Source organism: Homo sapiens, chromosome 2, assembly GCF_000001405.40.
Source record: "Homo sapiens chromosome 2, GRCh38.p14 Primary Assembly".
In the NCBI taxonomy this organism is placed as follows: domain Eukaryota; kingdom Metazoa; phylum Chordata; class Mammalia; order Primates; family Hominidae; genus Homo; species Homo sapiens.
Genome location: NC_000002.12, coordinates 113,893,964 through 113,913,986, shown reverse-complemented (window position 1 = coordinate 113,913,986; position 20,023 = coordinate 113,893,964). Strand labels below are relative to the sequence as shown.

The following is a 20,023-nucleotide window of genomic DNA, read 5'->3' as shown; positions in this document are numbered from 1 at the left end:
TGCAAAAGTTTTAATTTGGCTGTAAGACAAATAGATCAGAAGTGTTACTATATTATGTACAAAAAACGTGAACTGTTTGCAAGTCAAAAGTGTAAAAGTACGTTAATCAAGGAACAGACCTATGCTAACAAACGAGCACTAACAAACCAATGTCAGAATATTTTTTAAAAACTACTGAAAGTTAATGGTCAGCTTAAGCAAGATTAACAAAAATAGGATAAAACAAAAATACTCTAAAGACATACAACAGTATGGTTATGGGATATTAGAAAACAGCTGAGGTCAACATCTCTAAAGGTGAGATAGTGAGATATTGTCCTTCCATCCATATTTTGAAACATGGGCACTTAGTGAGGACGTCAACAGATACGGGCCCTACAAACAGTAGTCATATCCACAAACCAAAGGACAGTCTTCATAGGTATATGATGGGGAATGGACTACTTGATAATTAGTTATACCCCCATACTGTTAACTGCAATATCACCCTAAAAATTGGGGTACTGTTTCATTATCAGCTAATTTCTTTTTTTCTTTAAAAAGAGGTATTTAGTAGACATGGCAAATGGGGAGCTAAACATAAAGCTGAAATGAATAGTCAGACATACAAAAATGAGGCCACACTTAGAACCTGGCAAATCATGTTTTTAAAAGGACTAAATCTTTTAGGATTTCAGAACTGATTACTTCTTTTACTTAAATTATTAGGGAAGGGGATCTTTTAAATCAGCTCATTTGTGGCTTAAAAGAAATACTTACAGGAAGGGATGATAAACTGTGGTTCTGTATTTCCAGCATATCCTAGTTTTGTATACCTGCAAAACAAAATAATTTATAAAGATTTCACTAATATTTTAGCAATTATACATTTCTTTCTTAGAATTTCATTTGTTATGAAGTGAGATTCCATCGTAGGTAAATAATATACCAAATTCCATAGTTTCACTTCATTTAACCCCTACTTTCACAATTCTATCAAAATTATAAATGCACAGAGCTTCTGAAAAGAAATTCCACTTCAAGAAATTGATCCTTCAGGAATATATGTGAAATAATACACAATCAAGGTCATTAGCTACAATCTTGCTTCTAACAGCAAAAGACTGGAAATAACCTAAATATCAATCAAACTGGAAACTATTGAAATATGCTAAGTTTATACTATGGAATATTATGCAGCTACAAAAAATAGAATGAGGAAGCTCTTAGTATAGTGATAGGAAACAATTCCCAAAATATATTACTTATTGAACAAAGATACAGAACAATGTATCAAGTATGGTATATCTGTATAAAACTAATGGGGAGGAGTAAAAACATATGAAATATTTTGTATAGGCACAACGTATCTCTGGAAGACTACACAAGAATAATTTTGGTTGTCTCCAAAAAAGGGAACTGGGGCATGATGAACAGAAATGAGAAGGAGATTTGTTTTCATTGTACATTGTTTCATACCATTCAAATTAATTACTATTCAAAAATAAATATAAGATTTAATGTTTTGTCACAGTAGACTTGGCCTACATTCTTCTAACAAAATAACAACATAAATAAGGATTAGAAATTATAAAAGCTGAGCTCTGACAAGCAGTATGTGGGGGCTACTTAGGAGATAGTGGGGCATTTTTTAGCTATGTGGGAAAAGCTATTAACTATAAGCAGGCTTTAAAGAGAATGTAACATTTTATATTATTCCATATTCAAACTCACTGATAAATAGCAGACAGGTAATTGCTGTGACATTCTTGGACTCTAATATCTGAAGAATCTTTTTTCTAAGATAAAATGAAAAAAAAAAATCTGCTGGGGGCCTGACGTGGTGGCTCACACCTGTAACACTAGCACTTTGGGAAGCTGAGGTGGGTGGATCACCTGAGGTCAGGAGTTCAAGACCAGCCTGACCAACACGGTGAAACACCCTCGCTACTAAAACTATAGAAATTAGGCTGGGAGCAGTGGCTCATGCCTATAATCCCAGCACTTTGGGAGGCTGAGGCAGGTGGATTACGGGACCAGGACAGGAGTTCGAGACCAGCCTAACCAACATGGTGAAACCCCCAACTCTACTAAAAATACAAAATTAGCCAGGCATGGTGGTGGGCACCTGTAATACCAGCTACTTGGGAGGCTGAGGCAAGAGAATCGCTTGAACTTAGGAGGCGGAGGTTGCAGTGAGCCGAGATCACACCACTGCACTCCAGCCTGGGAGACAGAGTGAGACTCTGTCTCAAAAAATAAACAAATAAATAAACAATATCTTTGGGGAATGTTTTAGCCTCCAAATTAAGTTCAAGAACTGAGTGTGCCAAGGCCGAGGAGAGAGGATCACTTGAGGTGAGGAATTCGAGACCAGCCTGACCAACATGGTGAAACCCCATCTCTATTAAAATACAAAAATTAGCAGGGTGTGGTGGTGGGCGCCTGTAATCCCAGCTACTCAGGAGAGTGAGGCAGGAGAATTGCCTGAACCTGTGAGACAGAGGTTGCAGTGAGGCAATATCATGCCACTGTATTCCAGCCTGGGTGATAAAGCAAGACTTCGTCTCAAAAAAAAAAAAAAAAAAGTGTGCCAAATAAGAGTAAATCATTAAAAATAAGGGGAAACCATAAACTGTTGAAAAAAGTGATATTGGTCTACTGACTAACCTCTTCAACAGTTCCCCACTGTTCACGTTTTAAAAAAAAAAAACGAAAAACAAAAAATTTCCTTGTAATGTATACAAAAAAGTCCCTTTATTATTTGGCCTCTGACCTCTCCCAGCTGCCCTGACACCACATTAAACTCCCTAACCATAAAAACAGCTGACAATTTCTCAACACTCCAACTCATTTCATGCCACCAAGCCACTATTAACACTGCTCCTACTACATTAGATGCTCTCCTTCCCATCCAGTATAGTTTAATACCTTACCAGTGGACAAATGGAAATGACTAGTCTACTATACCAAAATAAAAACTTGTTTAATACAAAGCAGTCTGAAACTGTTGAACCAAAACACTCTACCTAAAAGCCTACTACTATCTAACCAATAGTGAATTATTAATACCTAACTATTCCTTGGTCTGATCCCACATATTAATCTCTCTACTTTTATTCTTATTTGTCACCACCACAATTCAAGCTGCTATACCCAACAATACCCTAAAACAGGACAAAACAGTATTTCCAATTCTAGAACTCCTACAAAGGACAAGAGAATAATATACCTAAAAACAATGCTCTAATTGTTTTTTCCTCTGCTTACACACCACCACCACAGCAATCAACACAGAAGACTTCTGGGACCAAATGTGTGGAGGGTTTCTCCCAACAACAAAAAAGCAATCAATTCTGCAGTGGACACTAGCTGGGTGTTCTGTAATTCAATTCCAATACTATCTACCTGGAGATAACATCAGAATCCACAGGTTGAAGGCTCAGTCCCCAAGACTGCCCCCCTTCTTCAGACACCAGTCACAAGCCCCAGACTCTGGAACTTCTGACTCACCTGCTTGAAGATGAGTTTCCCATACTCCCTCCTTGAGTTCAATTAATTTGCTAAAGTGGCTCACAAAACTCAGAGAAACACATTAGCTGGTTTATTATAAATAATACTGCAAAGCATACAGATAAAGACACACACAGGGTGAGGTGTGTAGGAAGAGACGTAGACGTTCCACACCCTCTCGAGCGTACCACCCTCCCAGAACCTCCACGTGTTCAGCTATCTGAAAGCTCTCCAAACTCTGTCCTTTGGGTTTTTATAGAGGCTTCAGTGCATAGACAGGATTGATTAAACCATTGGCCACTGGTGATCAACTTAACCTTCAGCCCCAGTGGTTGGAGGGTGGGGCTGGAAGTCCCAACTCACTAATCATGCCTTGGTCTTTCAAGTGACCAGCCCCATCTTGAAGTTACCTAGGGGCTGCCAGCCAACAGTCATCCCATTAGCACTCAAACAGACGTCACTTTGGAGTTTCTAAGAATTATAGGAGTTGTATGTCCGAATATGGAGTTGAAGACCAAATACATATTTCCCAATTTCAAACGGCCTAACTCAAAAATCTTCAAATGATGCTCTACTGGCTACAAGATTAAGTACAAGCTTGTTTCCATTTCTGTAAAATTGTTCATTGTAAAATTGTTCCTAAAGGCCCATCCACATGAACAATTATATCATTCTCTGATTCCTTCAGCTGAATATTAAAGTTCTCCATAATCATTTCCAATTTTTATAAGCATCTGCTATCACTTGCTTACATAAACCCAGCTCTAAGCATACTACACCTGCTACTCTTTTTTCCCTTATATCTTGTCTATTCCCTATTCCCCCCTCACATATTATCTACGCTCACACTGCACCCTCCCAAAAAAAAAAAAACAACAACAACAACAAAAAAACTTTTATCACAACTTAAAACTTCTCCAGGAAGTCTTTCCTGATCATTTTAACTATCAGGCATCCTTTCTTTTGACTAATCTTCATTTCAACCATAAGCCACACATATTTTTATGTGTGTAAATATCGTCTCCTAAATATTACAGTAATATTTGAAGTACAGACCACATTACAGTAGAAATTCCCTTAAGAAACATTCATTTAACCAGCTTACCAGACTGATCAAGACCCCATTCTTGGCCAAAATCAAATTTCCTAGGCTGAGTATATTCATCAATGAATTACTTTCAAAATAAACACCAAAAGGATCAAATGAACCTAATACAAAACAGTCAATATGTAATCAAAACAAAAATGCTCTTCTCAAAACACAAGAATAAATGCATACAGTATCCAATTGTATGGATATACCATAATTTATTTAATCACTTCTAATGTATTTTAAATGCCACAGCAAAATAATCTACTACATTTTGGGGAGCAGTAACTAATGTTCTACTACCTTAGATTTAAATTTTAAATATCCCAAAAGAACTAAATCATGTAAAGTCTGTCTACATTAGTTAGGCAGACTGCTAAATTACAGCATTTGATAATAATCATAGACAACAATATTTTCACCAATTCTTAAAAAATATGAGGGGAAATATCACAGTTTACTTAACTTCATAAGTTGCTTAGACTCTAAAAGCTAATTTGGTTCCTGTCTCAAAAAAAATGTGGTACAGGACACAATCTAAAAAAGTAAAGTTATCTACTAAACTTTAAAAAAGGTTTTGAAGGCTCAACCTTCAAAAAGTCACATTTTCTCCCGCAGGGAGTAAAGTGCTGAATGACAAAAAAAATCACTCTTTAAAACCACTCGCTTTATACTACTAGCAAACTTTAAAAATTAAGATTTGAAAATTAAAAAAAACAAGTCAAAGTTCAGAGAATAAGCGTACAGAAAATACATTGCAATAATTTTAAAAATAAGAACAGAACCGTAGAAATCTCAGACTAAAAAAATACTTTTTAATGCTCATATAAAAATACTTTAATGCTTATATGTGAGATGAGAAACATTTAAGGAGAGGAAGAGGTTTGAAAATTGTTATTAGAAAAAGAAAAAAATTAGAAAGTATATTAAATATTAAATTTATTTAAAACTCCAAAATAAAAGCTTTTCAAATGTAAACTAGCCTCCATTAACCTACCAATTCTATTGAGTTTTACACATGAAATAACTACATATTATCCTTAAGATATTTTTATGAACTCTAAAAATTCGATAGTCACCATAAAGAAGAAATTTTGTACAAGTAGATGGTAGAAGTTTCTCTCGCTTTTTCTTTGACAAAAAAAAAAAAAAACTGCTAACAGCTAATTGGCATTTGACATATGAACTTTTTAAATTGTAATTTAAGGATGTAATCACTATCTTTAAATTCAAGGCTCTTGTTTTTCAGTGACACAAAGTTCAAATATTTTTGTAATAATACAAATAGGTTTCAAATGACTTTCCTATTAAGCATTTCTCTAAGCATATATACATGTTTGTTGCTCTCTAAAGAATAATGATGTTCTTCAGGATCCTGACCAAGTGTATCACAGCAACCCACTTTTTTTTTTTTTTTTTTTTTTTTTTGGGGGACAGAGTTTTGCTCTTGTTGCCCAGGCTGGAGTGCAATGGCGAGATCTCGGCTCACCACAACCTCTGCACCTCCTGGGTTGAAGCGATTTTCCTGCCTTAGCCTCCCAAGTAGCTGGGATTACAGGCATGCGCCACCATGCCTGGCCAATTTTGTATTTTCAGTAGAGACAGGGTTTCTCCATGTTGGTCAGGCTGGTCTCCAACTCCTGATCTCAGGTGATCAGCCAGCCTCAGCCTCTCAAAGTGCTGGGATTACAGCTGTGAGCCACCGTGCGTGGCCAACAACCCACTTTTAACCTTACTTTTCCAAAATAAATTTTTGCTTTGAATTTATAAATCCTATCAGTATAATTTATTTTTCTACAGCCCTTGCAATTTTCTGTAAAGATTTCCTGGATATTCAAAAAGGTCATTCATGAGCTGGGTGTGACGGCTCACGCCTGTAGTCCCAGCACTTTGGGAGGCCAAAGCAGGAAGGTCACTTGAGGACAAGAGGTGAACACCAGCCTGGGCAACAAATCAAGATCCAAATCTCTACAAAAAATTTAAAAATCAGCTGGACATAGCAGCTCACACCTGTAGTCCTAGCTACTTGGGAGGCAGGGAGGATGACTTGAGCCATGGAGGAGCTATGACTGCCCCACTGCACTTCAGTTGGGCAACAGAGCAAGACCCCGTCTTTAAAAAATTATTATAAAATTACAATAAAAAATAAACAAAAAAGTAATTCATAAAAGCACCTTCTCCCCTGCTCTAAGTTACATTTAGCAAAAACTCTCTTTTGGACAGCTAGTAAACAACCTGATCTCATTCCCTCCTAATAAGCTTTAAAAATAAGTTTAAATGGCTTCATTTTTTCTTAAATTTGCCATCTGGATAATTGCATTTAGTACAGAATTCAGACTTGGGACAAACTTTCATATCTGAAAGCTATTTACCCAAATCGATCCACAGATTCAAGCATTTCCCATCAAAATCCTAATAACATTTTTGCAGAAATAGAAAAATCCATCCTAACATTCATATGGATCTCAAAGGATCCTGAATAGCCAAAATAATCCTGAAAAAGAACAAAGTTGGAGATCTCACACTTCCTCATTTTAAAAGTTACTACAAAGCTATAGTGACCAAAACAGTATGGTACTGGCATAAGAACTAACAGAATCAGGAGCCCAGAAATAAACTCTCACATATATAATTAAATGATTTTTAACAAGGATGCCATAACTACTAAGATGAAGAAAGGACAGTCTTTTGAACAAATGGTGCTGGAAAACTGGATATCCACATGCAAAAGAATGAAGTTGTACCTTTACCTTACACCATACACAAAAGTTAACTCAAAGTTGATCACAGACCTAAACACAAGAGCTAAAACTATAGAACTCTTAGAAAAAAAACATAAGGTGAAAAGCTTCATGATACTAAATTTGGCTATGATCTCTTGGCTATGACACCAAAAGCACAAGTAACAAAAGAAAAAAAGAGAAAAACTTCATCAAAATTAAAAACTTGTGTATCAAAGGACACTATCAACAGTGGAAAGGCAATCCACAGAATGGGAGAAAATATTTGCAAATCACTATCTGTAAGGGATTAATATCCAGAATAAAGAACAACACAACAATCAAAAAAAGCCCAACTGAAAAATCAGCAATCAACCTGTAATGACATTTCTCCAAAGAAAATATACAAATGGCCAATAAACACAAGAAAAGATGTTCAACCTTACTAATAATAAAGAAAATGCAAATCAAAACCAGAATGAAATACCCCATTACACCCATTAGGATGGCTATTATCAAGAAAATAACAAATGTTGGGGAAGATGTAAAGAAACTGAAACCCTTGTGCAATGCTGGTGAGAGTTTAAAATGGTGCAATGCTGTGGAAAACTATAAAATAGTTCCTCCAAAAATTAAATACAGTAATTACACGACCCAACAATTCCACTTCTGGGTATATACCCAAAAGAACTGAAAGCAGGAACTTGAACAGGTACTTATACATGCATGTTCATAGCAGCAATATCTGCAATAGCTAAAAGGTGGAAGCAACCCAAGCATCCATCAACATGTGAATGGATAAACAAAATATGATATATACTTCCAATGGAATATTATTCAGCCTCAAAAAGGAAACACATGATACATGCTTACAACATGGATGAACCTTGAATACATTATAAGTAAAATAAACCAATCACAAAAGGACAACTATTGTACAATTCCACTTATAGAAGGTACCTAGAAAAGTCAAATTCATAAAGACAGAAAGTGGAATGGTATTTGCCTGGGACTTCGCATGTGAGGAGAGAACGGGAAGTTACTGCTTAATGCGCAGAGTTTCAGTTTGGGAAGATAAAAAAGTTATGGATCATGGAGGATGGTGATGGTTAGACAATAATGTGAATGTACTTTATGCCACTAAACTGCACACTTAGAAATAGTTAAACAGTAAACTTTATGAGTATTATACCACAAAAAAAAAATTTTTTTTTTTTTTTGAGACGGAGTCTTGTTCTGTCGCCTAGGCTGGAGTCCCGTGGCGCCATCTCGGCTCACTGCAACCTCTGCCTCCTGGGTTCAAGCGATTCTCCTGCCTCAGCCTCCCAAGTAGCTAAGACTACAGGCATCCACCACCATGCCCAGCTAATTTTTGTATTTTTAGTAGAGACAGGGTTTCACCATGTTGGCCAGGCTGGCCTTGAACTCCTGACCTCGTGACCTGCCAGCCTCAGCAGTTACCACCAAGAAAATAATACTGGATACCTACCGCACATGTTAAAGCAGGATAAATCTAAATGTATCAAATATAAAGTTTAAAAGAAAATGTGATATAGTTTATAACCCTGGAGTGCAGGAGACTTTCTAACTATAACTTAAAACCCATACACTATAAAAGGTTATTTCAACTATGTAAAAATTAAAAACTTCTTTACAAAAACACACCCAAAGTAGCCAAAAGAAAAATGAGTAACAGAGAAAAATTATCTACACAAATTATCTAGACAGATATAATCTCTTTAACATATAAAGGGTACCTAGATGTTAATGACAAGGGAGGGAAGGACAGGAAGGGAGGAAACAAAAGAAGGAAAGGCAAAAAGACACTAACCATTCCCAGAACAACAGAAATGGTTATTAAATGAAAAGAGACTCAACTCCATGGGATTTTTAAAATGCAAATTAAAAGTGCACTGAGGTGCTTTCAAACATTACTAGTTGGAGGGAGGGTTGTATAACAACAACAACAAAATAAAAAACATTACTAGTTAGAATGCAAAATGATGCAGCCACTTACGAAAACAATTTAACTATCACTTACCATCTGACCCAGGAATTCTACCTCTAGTTAGAATCTACTAGAAACAAGAAAAATAAAAACAGTTGTCCACACAATTGTGTACATGTATGTTCACAACAGAATAGTTCATAAAGACCCAAAACTGGAAGAAAAACAAATGTTTAACAAGAGAACGAATAAACAAGAGTGTTATATTCATACAAACCAAAATTACTTCACATAGGAAGAACCAGGAAAACATAACCCATTCTCCTGGGAGAAGACACTCAACAGAAGGCAATTCTAACATGACCCAAATGCTGGAATTATAAGATAAAGACTTCCAATCAACAATGAGTATTAACATAGACCTGTAATTGATAATAAAGGAAATATCACCAGATAAATGAAAATAAAGGCCAAGCAGTAGAAATTATTCATTCTGAAATTGGGGGGAAAGAAAACAAGGAAAAAGGAAAGAGCTTCAGGGACTCATCAAGGACAATATCAAAAAGGTGATACACGTGGCCAGGTGCAGTGGCTCACACCTGTAATCCCAGCACTCTGGGAGGCCGAGGTGGGCGGATCACGAGGTCAGGAGATCGAGACCATCCTGGCTAACAAGGAGAAACCCCGTCTCTACTAAAAACACAATAATAAAATTAGCCGGGCGCAGTGCCAGGCACCTGTGGTCCCAGCTACTCAGGAGGCTGAGGCGGGAGAATGGCATGAACCCAGGAGGCAGAACTTGCAGTGAGCTGAGATCAAACCACTGCACTCCAGCCTTGGCAACAGAGTAAGACTCTGTCTCAAAAAAAAAAAAAGTGACACACTTAGGTCCCAGAAGGAGAAGAGAGTGTAGTAAAAATATTTTTAAAAAGAAATAGTGACAGGCCAGACGGGGTGGCTCACGCCTGTAATCCCAGCACTTAGGGAGGCCGAAGTGGGTAGATCACTTGAGGCCAGGAGTTCAAGACCAGCATGGCCCACACGGCGAGACTCCATCTCTACTAAAAATAAATTATGGGAGGCTGAGGCAGGAGAATTGCTTTAACCCAGGAGGCAGAGGTTTCAGTGAGCCGAGATCGCGCTACTGCACTCTAGCCCAGCAACGGAGCGAGACTCCGTCTCAAAAAAAAAAAAAAAAAGACAATTAGCAGAGCATGGTGGTGTAAGCCTGTAATCCCAGCTACTCAGGAAGCTGAGGCACAAGAATTGCTGAACCTGGGAGACAGAGGTTGCAGTGGGCCAAGGCTGCGCCACTGCACTCCAGCCTGGGCAACAGAGCAAGACTCAGTCTCAGAAACAAACAAATAAAAAGGAATAGTAGCTAAAAATTTTCCCAATTTAGTGAAAGACAGAAATTTAGAGATTTAAGAGGCTCAAGAACACCCAAGCAGAATAAATATAAAGAAAACCACACTTAGGCACAAACCACTGAAAATCAAAGATAAGGAAAACAATGTACTCATATATGGGGATCTAAAATAGAACCTGATAAATAAGTAGCACGGCAGTTGCCAGGTATTGGGAAATGGAGGAATTGGAGAGCTGTTGATCAATGTATACAAGTTTCCAGTTATAAGATGAATAAGTACTAGTGATCTAAGCTATAGCATAGTAACCACAGTTAATAACATACAGTATTTTACAGTTGAAATTTGCCTAAAGGCGATCTTAAGTGTCATCACACAAAAAAGGTAACTATGTCAGGTAACAAATACATTAATTAGCTTGATTGTAAGACTCATGACACAAGGTTTACTTATATCAAAACACCATGTTGTGGCCAGAAGCAGTGGCTCATCCCTGTAATCCCAGCACTTTGGGAGGCCCAGGCGGGCGATCACCTGAGGTCAGGAGTTTGAGGCCACCCTGGCCAACACGGCGAAACCCCATCTCTACTAAAAATACAAAAACTAGCCAGGCGTGGTGACGGGCACCTGTAATTTCAGCTACTCAGGAGGCTGAGGCAGGAGAATCACTTGAACCCGGGAGAAAGAGGTTGCAGGGAGCCAAGATCACGTCACTGCACTCCAGCCTGAGTGACAGAGCGAGACTCTGTCTCCAAAAAGAAAAAAAAAAACTAAACCAAAAATGTCTCTTTGTGATCTAGAGAAACAAGTTAAATATATAGAAAAGCTCTTACTATGGCAGTAATGAAAAAAATCTACAATGCTGATTTTGGCTGCGAAAGGGAGATGGTAAGGGACTTAAAAAACAACTTGCTATTGTACTCTAAAATCCTGTAGCTGAGGTTTAGCTGTACTCAATTTGCTTGTATAAAATATATAATACATCATTTTACATAAAAAAAAAAAGAAAAACAACTTGCTTAGAGAAAGGAATATAGAGAAAAGAATTCAAAAGCACTTTTGAAGCTATCAAAGCCTTGGTGACTAGAAGAATAATAGTAGAAATATAAGAAGGCTAGGTGAGAGAGGAGGCTGGACTGGCAGAAATCAACAGCAAAAGAAAGATGAGTTTTATACCAAAAAAAAGGCGAGTCTGTCACAACAGTAACTGCCTCTGAGGAAAGGGGAAGTGGATTTGGGGACAGTCATCAATAATGCTCTTTTGTTCCTTAAAACAAGAAAGATAAAGTAAGTATAATTAAATGTTCACGGGTCATAATTCTAACAAATGCAGGTATCTGTTATATTATTGATTGTACCTACCTAAAAGAAATCCATTAATAGAATCTTTTTCAGTAGTAAAACAACTTATGCCTGCATTGTAAAAGCATTAACATCCTTTGCCTTGGATATTATTTTTAATTTTACAAATTGCAAATGCTTGTACATTAAAACATGTACAATTACACTCTCTTGCTAGGGGCTAATATAGTGGTGACTTTGAAGCCAATGTTCCATTACAATTCTGAAAATTATAGGGCCCTTAAGAATGATGCTAAATCTACTCTGCCTGTGCCTCTACATACGGAACAAGTTTTAACTTTCAATAGTTCAACAAATGAAATGATATAACAAAATAAATATAAGACCCCAGAGCTTAAGGATAGAAGAGACTTTAATGATCTAGCACAACTCTTTCCAAAACCTTAACACTGACAACCACTAAAGTTCAAATAATTCTATCTTAATATGAATGACTTGCTTATACTCTTACCATATCATAAAAATAAAGTACATCTTATATAATTTTATGTAAGATATGATTACCAAATAAATCCCAAATGAAAACAGAGTTTACTAATTGATCCCAATGCCTACTCCCATAATATCTTAATTCTCAGCTTACCCAGTTTTCGTCATACAATACCAAAGCCCAAAAAGGTAATTTGGTGTTAGAAACTTTGTTGTTGCTGAAACAGAGTTTCGCTCTTATTGCCCAGGCTGAAGTGCGACAGCGCGATCTTGGCCCACCACAACCTCTGCCTCCCAGGTTCAAGCGATTCTCCTGACTCAGCCTCCCGAGTAGCTGGATTCAAGCAATTCTCCTGCCTCAGCCTCCCAAGTAGCTGGGATTACAGGCACACGCCACCACGCCCAGCTAATTTTGTGTTTTTAGTAGAGATGGGGTTTCTCCGTGTTGGTCAGGCTGGTCTCAAACTCCCGACCTCAGGTGATCTGCGGCCTCGGCCTCCCAAAGTGCTGGGATTACAGGCATGAGCCACCGTGCCCAGCCAGAAACTTTTAAAACAAGAATGCAGTGGCTGATTCACAGGGAAATTTGTCAAGTAGAGTAAGACAATATTAGCTATAAAGATAAACAGCAATGGTTTAAAAAACTTTTCCAATTCCCTCCAACATTTTTCTCATGACATGCAAGTCAATGTTTAACCTGACACAAAAATACTGATGGACTGTTGAGTGAAGAACCTGGACGCCTACTCTGTGTGTCAACAGAAACATTCTCCTGGTCCCTTCAAGCCTAAACCTTAAAATCTTAACTCCTTTTCACTAGTGGGGAGAACATGAACCTTGAAATAAAGAAGACATGACTGAATGCTTGTTCCACCATTTACTAGCCTGTGATCCTGTGATCATAGACTATCCCTAATGCATCGGGAATAAAACTAAATTCATGAGGTTGTCATAAGGATTAAAGGACCTAACAGTGAATAAAACTCACTAAGTATTTGGTAAACATTTCCTTCCCAAGATGATTTTCCTTTATCCATAGGCCTTCCTTTATCCCTCTACCCATTCCTTTAATTTTGCTTTCAAAGATTCTCAACGTTTTCCCAGTCCCTTTGCTATACGTCCATCACCACTGAAGACAACGACTACAGCAGTCAGCACTTGCCCCATGAAAGAAATCAGTCACAAAAAGCCACAAATTGTATGATTCCATTTACATGAAATGGCCAAAATAGGCAAATCCATAAAGACAGAAAGTAAATTAGTGTTTGCTAAGGGTTGAGGGTAGAGGTAACGGAGAGTGACTGCTACTGGGTGTAGGGTTTTTTGGGGTCATGAAAATGTTCTAAAATTGATTGGATTCCAATAAGTGGCATCCAGGCATTAAAAAAAAATGAAATTGACTGGAAATAGTTGCACAACCTTGTGACTATACTAAAAACTACTCAATTACACACTTTAAAAGAGTAAACTTTACAGTATGTGAATTATAACTCAATAAAGCTGTATAAAGTAAAATACTAGACCCAGACTAATAGTGCATAAATTTACCTTTTATCACTCTTTTGCTTAATGATCTACACAATCCACTACTGTCTATCAAATAAATCGCAAACCATTCTGCCCCATTTAAAATCCTTCTGAAATAAGGCAAGATGAGTAAATAAACTACTTGCTGTCCCACAGCTCCCAACAGAAATATCTGAATTCCAGGCAGGGCAATTTCCTAACTGACCCATCCCCCAAATACTTTGAAACTCCTTCATGACTTCCCTTTATCAGTAAAATATTTGCTGGGCATTATTAAATATCATGCAGGACGCTATCACTTGAATAGAGAATGCACAAAAAAGAAATAATCCCTGCCACTATGGAGCTTTCAATTTAGCTCACATCCTAGATTTGAAGTCCTTCTTCCCATATATCTATCACATCCTATTTATGCTTTTCCAAGGATCTGATCAAGTTCAGCTTCTTCATAAATCATCCTCCAAATACTACAGCCCTTATTAATCTGCCCAAACAATTAAATGCTAGTAAGCCATCCATAATTATTTCACACATATTAGTTTCATCTTTGAAACTAAACTGTAAACCTCAAGTATAAAATCATGCCTTAGTTTTCTTGTATATACCATAGTGTTCAGCACAGAACTGAGACTGAAATAAATACTTGATTACTTTAAGTTCTTCTATTTTTTTACTTTCATATGTGTTTTGTGCAGTCATTAATGAGCACATAATACATAGTGAGTAAAATAATTACAGTAAGTAATGCATCAGTGGAGATTATTCATTTTCAAATTGCAGCTTCAGAAATATGTATGCCTTCCTTTTGAAGATATATGTAATTAGCATCATTTCCTTGAGCTGCCCTGAATTTATCAGCAATTATCAGTCCTTGCAATACTCAAATAAGCAGTAAGCAAATCCATATTTCACTTTAATGTGTTATAGGTTAATCAAATCAGTGAACTGGTCACTAAGACCTCCCTATATGTTTCATATTTGTACTAAAAATTAGTAGCTTTGGGTTTAAGTATGTATAAAATGGACACTCTTAAAAACTGGACTAATAATTTGACCACTCTCCTTGGATGTATCTCAATTAGGGAACAGTAGAGCAGTGAGCTCTGGAATGAGACTACCCCAGGACTAAAATTCTAAATCTACTACTTATCTTTGAAATGGGATTATTTATAACAGTAACTACCTCACAGGGCTTCTGAAAAGGTAATAACATCCAAAACAAAACGTGCAAAGGGCCTTGAAATGGCTGATTGGTACACATCCCATTTAATACATCTTTAATAATTAAAATCCAAAGATATAAATCTCTGAAACCATAAAGAAAAATTTTTTTAAAGAGAGCATTCATTTTATGAAAGTCATCTGTCCTGGCACCTACAGAGCACAACTTTTAAAATATCTCTAAACTTGGTTTAAAACATTATTATTGGGAAACATAAAATTAGTTTCTCATGTGTGCCATACAGTATGCCTCTGCATTACAACGAAACACTGAAGAATTCTGATGTAGGCTTCAACTAAAACTACTTTAACTATAAATAAAATACATTATGTTATTCCAATTACTTAATTTCAACTATTAACTCATAAATGTGAACTCACAAGAAAATTTAAGAGAACTCAACAATACTATCAATTAATAATTAGGAACACTCCCAAAAGACATTTCTCAACTCTGAGCCTCTGTTTCATTTGTAAATGAAGACTGGATTAAATTATCTCTCAAAATCCCTTTTCAGCTCTATAATTCTGTGTGAGTCATTAGGCATTTCCCTTAATTTACTAAAGCAAGTTTCACAAATACACATTAAATGCTATATTTGTACCCTTGAGTAACTGAATTTTAAAAATGCTTATAGCAGAAGCACACTAGATTTAACTAAAATAATCTCTATAACTAGGCAAACACTTGTGTCCTGTCATACACTAATACTAAAAACATGGTTTACATGTTTACAGTAGATTAAGCCAACCCTAAACTACAAGGTCTTCTGCACCCTAATTCTCTCTCTAGGACTTTTATCCTCCTCATTGTAACCTCTCCTTTACACTAAATACTGAAAAGCACAGAAACCCTTCCCAAGAGCATTGCATTTTCACAAATGACACAAAGTCTTAAAGCAAGGACAAAATGTTTAAAAATAAAACGTTTAGGTAATGTCCTTCGGCAGGAGGAAAACATGGCATGTTGAGTATCCGAACAGATGAATATTCTTCTCAGGTATGTATTAGGGTTGGGGAGCAGAAGGAAAGCTGAAAGAATACATCTGGCCGAGACGGGTGGATCACTTGAGTTCAGGAGTTCAATATCAGCCTGGCCAATATGGTGAAACCCGGTCTCTACTAAAAACACAAAAATTAGCCAGGCATCGTGGCGGGTGCCTATAATTCCAGCTACTCGGGAGGCTGAGGCAGAAGAATAGCTTGAACCCTGGAGACGGAGGTTTCAGCAAGCCAAGATCACGCCACTGCACTCTAGCCTGGGTGACAGAGCAACACTCTGCCTCAAAAAAAAAAAAAAAAAAAAAAAAAATAACATCTGGCCACACAAATTCAAGCTATTCCTTTCCTGGTTCCAAGGAGTATGTAAGAATGGCTTGAGTTTAAATCGACAGTTTGGAAAGAATTTTGAAAATTCTGAAACAAAATTATTATTAAAATTCTGCAAAATCGTCCTTTAAAAAAACTAGAATTTTTTTTCTTTTTTTTGCTCTGGTATTAGTCAATTATGTAGGTTACGTTGTTTCCTGATATAAAGGCCCATATAAAGTTATAAAATCAGCACACAAACTAATATTAGTCACTATCCTATTTCAAAGAACTAAATTTAAAACAATCCAATAACATCACCTTATCTCCTATCTAATAATTCATAAATGTCGTGTTTGGTAAGCTACAGCACACATTTTTGTAGTGCTATTATTACTTAATTGCTTTGCTCTTGCTTCTTTATGCTACTGTCTATCACTGATTATGGTTGTGTCATAAAAAAGGCAACAAGCTCCAACAGAATTACAAGGGAGCATTCAAATGCTTTTTTTATTATAGTGGAATTTTGTTTCAGGAAACACATGTTGCTACATTTTAACCATTCCAAACTTCTGCTCCTAGTCCAATCCTTTAGCTGTTTCCACAAGTTGGGGGAGCAGGAGCATGCTGGACAAGGGAAATTTAGCTAGAGCTAAACTCTCCTCCTGATTAAGGATTTTGCCTCTTAGAAAATTGAATGACATAGGTGGAGATAAGATTGTCAGCATAGCGATCAATTACCACGAGCCAATCAGTCACTGTGATGCTCAAGAAGCTAGATCACATATCCACAATTTTTTTAAAGAAGGGAAACTGATATTCAATCTTTCCGTTCTTTTCTCTCTGAATGCTCTCATCTTATTAGCTTCAGTTAACAAATTATGATTCCCAAATATCCACCTTCATTCCCAAAGGTCCTGTATTTTTAATTTCCTCTAGAATGTTTCCAATTATAAATCATCATTCCAAATTCAACAACAAATTCCAATTTTACTCAGTTTCTTAAAACTAACTCCCTTATTGTCCCAATCACTCAGGCTTACAATCTTGAACTATTCATTGATGCCTATTTACAATCCACTGGAATCAACTGCCAAGTCCTAGCTATACCTCCTTCAATCTCTCAAATCAGCAAAAACATTTTGACTGTGCAGAGAACTGTGTGTGGTAGGCAGGCCAAGGCCTGCAGGAGATAAGAAAATAAGCATAACACACTGTATTCCTTTCTTTAAGAACTGAAACTCAAAAAAAAAAGAAAGCCAACCAATTATTATATTTAAAATATATTGTGCCCTTACTGTGTGCCAGGCACTGTGCTGAACCATTTTCACACATTATCAAAAAACAGAACAAAACAAAACAAAACTGGGCATGGTGGCTCACTCCTGTAATCTCAACACTTTAAGAGGTCAGGGCAAGAGGATTACTTGTGCTAGAAGTTTGAGACCAGCCTGAGGCAACACAGTGAGACCCCATCTCTACAAAAAATTTTTAAAAGTAGCCACACATGGTGGCATGTGCCTGTAGTCCCAGCTACTCGGGGGACTGAGGCAGGAAGACAGCTTGAACATAGGAGTTTGAGGATGCAGTGAGCCATGATCTTGCCATTGAACTCCAGTTTGGGCAACAGAGACCCAGTCTCAAAAACAAACAAAAAAAACCTATAAGGTATACACTATCATCTCCAAATTACAGATGGGAAGAAATAAGACCTGCAGAGGTTGAAGTGTATAAAGTCATATAGCTATTAAGTGATAGAGCTTGAACTCAACAACAGATAACTACAAAGCCTTTGCTACCCGTAAATAAAATAACACGAAATATAACTGCCAGAAGAAACGTAAAAAGAAAGGAAAAAACCAATCTTTTCCTAACTTATCTCTTCTGCTCCAACTCCACCGCCAATACCAGGTTTCAGAATTTCTGCAAAGTTAGCCCTTGAATGGGCTGCTGAAGAATCATCTAGGAAGCCTATGTAAATGAATATTCATAGTCCAACCCTTGAGATTCTGAGTCACTGGGTATGGGGTGTTTCTGATGCACAGTTTTTTTAAAAACCATACTCCTAATTCTTGTTCATTCATTCATACAACAAAGATTTGAATTCCTACTATGCACCAAGCCATGTCAAACGTTCATCTTCTACGGAAGGAAGATCTAGTGTAGTGGCTCTGCCATACTTACTTGCTACAGTATCTTGGGTAAGTAGCTTAACCTCTCTTAAGACTAAATTTTCTAGCCTATAAAACAAAGATAATACTTTCCAGGTTGTTGTGAAAGTTAATGAGATAATATAAAGCATTTAGCACAGGGGCTGACATACAATTCTCGATAAATGCTAGCTATTATTATTTCCTGAGAAACACAACCTAGAGAGTAATTTTTTTCTAGAGATTAAATTTAAGCAAAGTAACAAGGAAATAGTCTAGGCATTCACATATCGGCAGGGGGGTGGGGGGGGGGAACCTAAACCAAGTAAAGATTACACAGAGGGTTTTCTCTAATTAGGTGAATCAAATTCATAAGGCTGAGATTTTTTTTTGTAAGAGTTCTTTAAACAGAAATACAGTTAACTTTACTAACAACAATGAAGCAACACATAAAGTTCTGAAAAGGCAGTCAGGAGTCCCCGGAGTGTTAACAGAAAGAACACAGGACTTAAATACAGAACTCAGGTCCAAATAGCAGATCGAACCACCTGCCAGGTAGACGGCATCAAAAAGGTAATTTAAATTCTCTCATTCTGTTTTTTCACTTATAAAATTAGGTTAAAAAATAGCTGTCACAGAAAGCATGGCCAGCAGGTCCTCCACAGGACCTTTCCGTTCTGTGCCTAAAATTCTGAACTGTGTTTTACAATAAGCCTGAAAGTTCGTTCACCGCAATATAGTATTTGCAATCCAAAGTCAATATTTCAACACAAAATTGGCAGGCAGGAAAGGAGGGAGAGTCTTTCGCTAAGTCTAAGTAAGAGTCTGACTTCTCACTAGGAGCATGTCTGTTGTACTTACTTCAAACAGCATGCAAAGCATGACTCATCAAGGAATAAGAATTTCAATGAGTGCTTTTTGGTTAAGAAGCTATTGTGAATATTTCTGCCTTTGGAGATGGCTAAAGAAATAGCATTATTAAGCCGGTGCAGTGGCTCATGTCTGTAATCCCAGCACTCTGGGAGGATGAGGTGGGTGGATCACCTGAGGTCAGGAGTTCAACAACAGCCTGGCCAACATGGTGAAACTCTGTCTCTACTAAAAATACAAAATTTAGCTGGGCGTGGTAGTGGGCGCCTATAATCCCAGCTACTTGGGAGGCTGAGGCAGAAAATCACCTGAACCCAGGAGGCAGAAGGAGGTTGCAGTGAGCCAAGATCATGCCACTGCACTCCAGCCTGGGCGATGAGAGCAAAACTCCATCTCAAAAAAAAAAAAAGAAACAGCATTATTATTAAACAATACGCACAGAATTCATGGAAGAAACATGAACTTCCCACATATACCTTCCTTCATTTACCCAGCTTTTCCCCACTGCTCTTCAAACAAGATCATTCTTATCTGCACTA

General features: G+C 37.1%; 1 protein-coding gene across 3 annotated transcripts in view, besides 1 other annotated feature; it reads right to left on the bottom strand.

Moving 5' to 3' along the window:
- The window catches only part of ACTR3 (actin related protein 3), a 72,663-nt gene that overhangs the window by 48,610 nt on the left and 4,030 nt on the right, over positions 1–20,023 (bottom strand). For all 3 annotated transcript variants that reach the window (NR_102318.1, NM_005721.5, NM_001277140.1), the window contains exon 2: positions 760–815. Coding sequence is in view for 1 of the 3 variants with exons in the window: in NM_005721.5 (NP_005712.1) it covers positions 760–815 (56 nt within the window). In the remaining 2 variants the exon portion in view is untranslated. The remainder of the gene's footprint in view (positions 1–759; positions 816–20,023) is intronic.
- Positions 11,780–11,869: a silencer, noted in NCBI's record as "silent region_11890". NCBI's record gives its function as "represses an Ori minimal core promoter by ATAC-STARR-seq in GM12878 lymphoblastoid cells {active_cell/tissue: GM12878}" and the evidence as "EXISTENCE:reporter gene assay evidence [ECO:0000049][PMID:35858748]".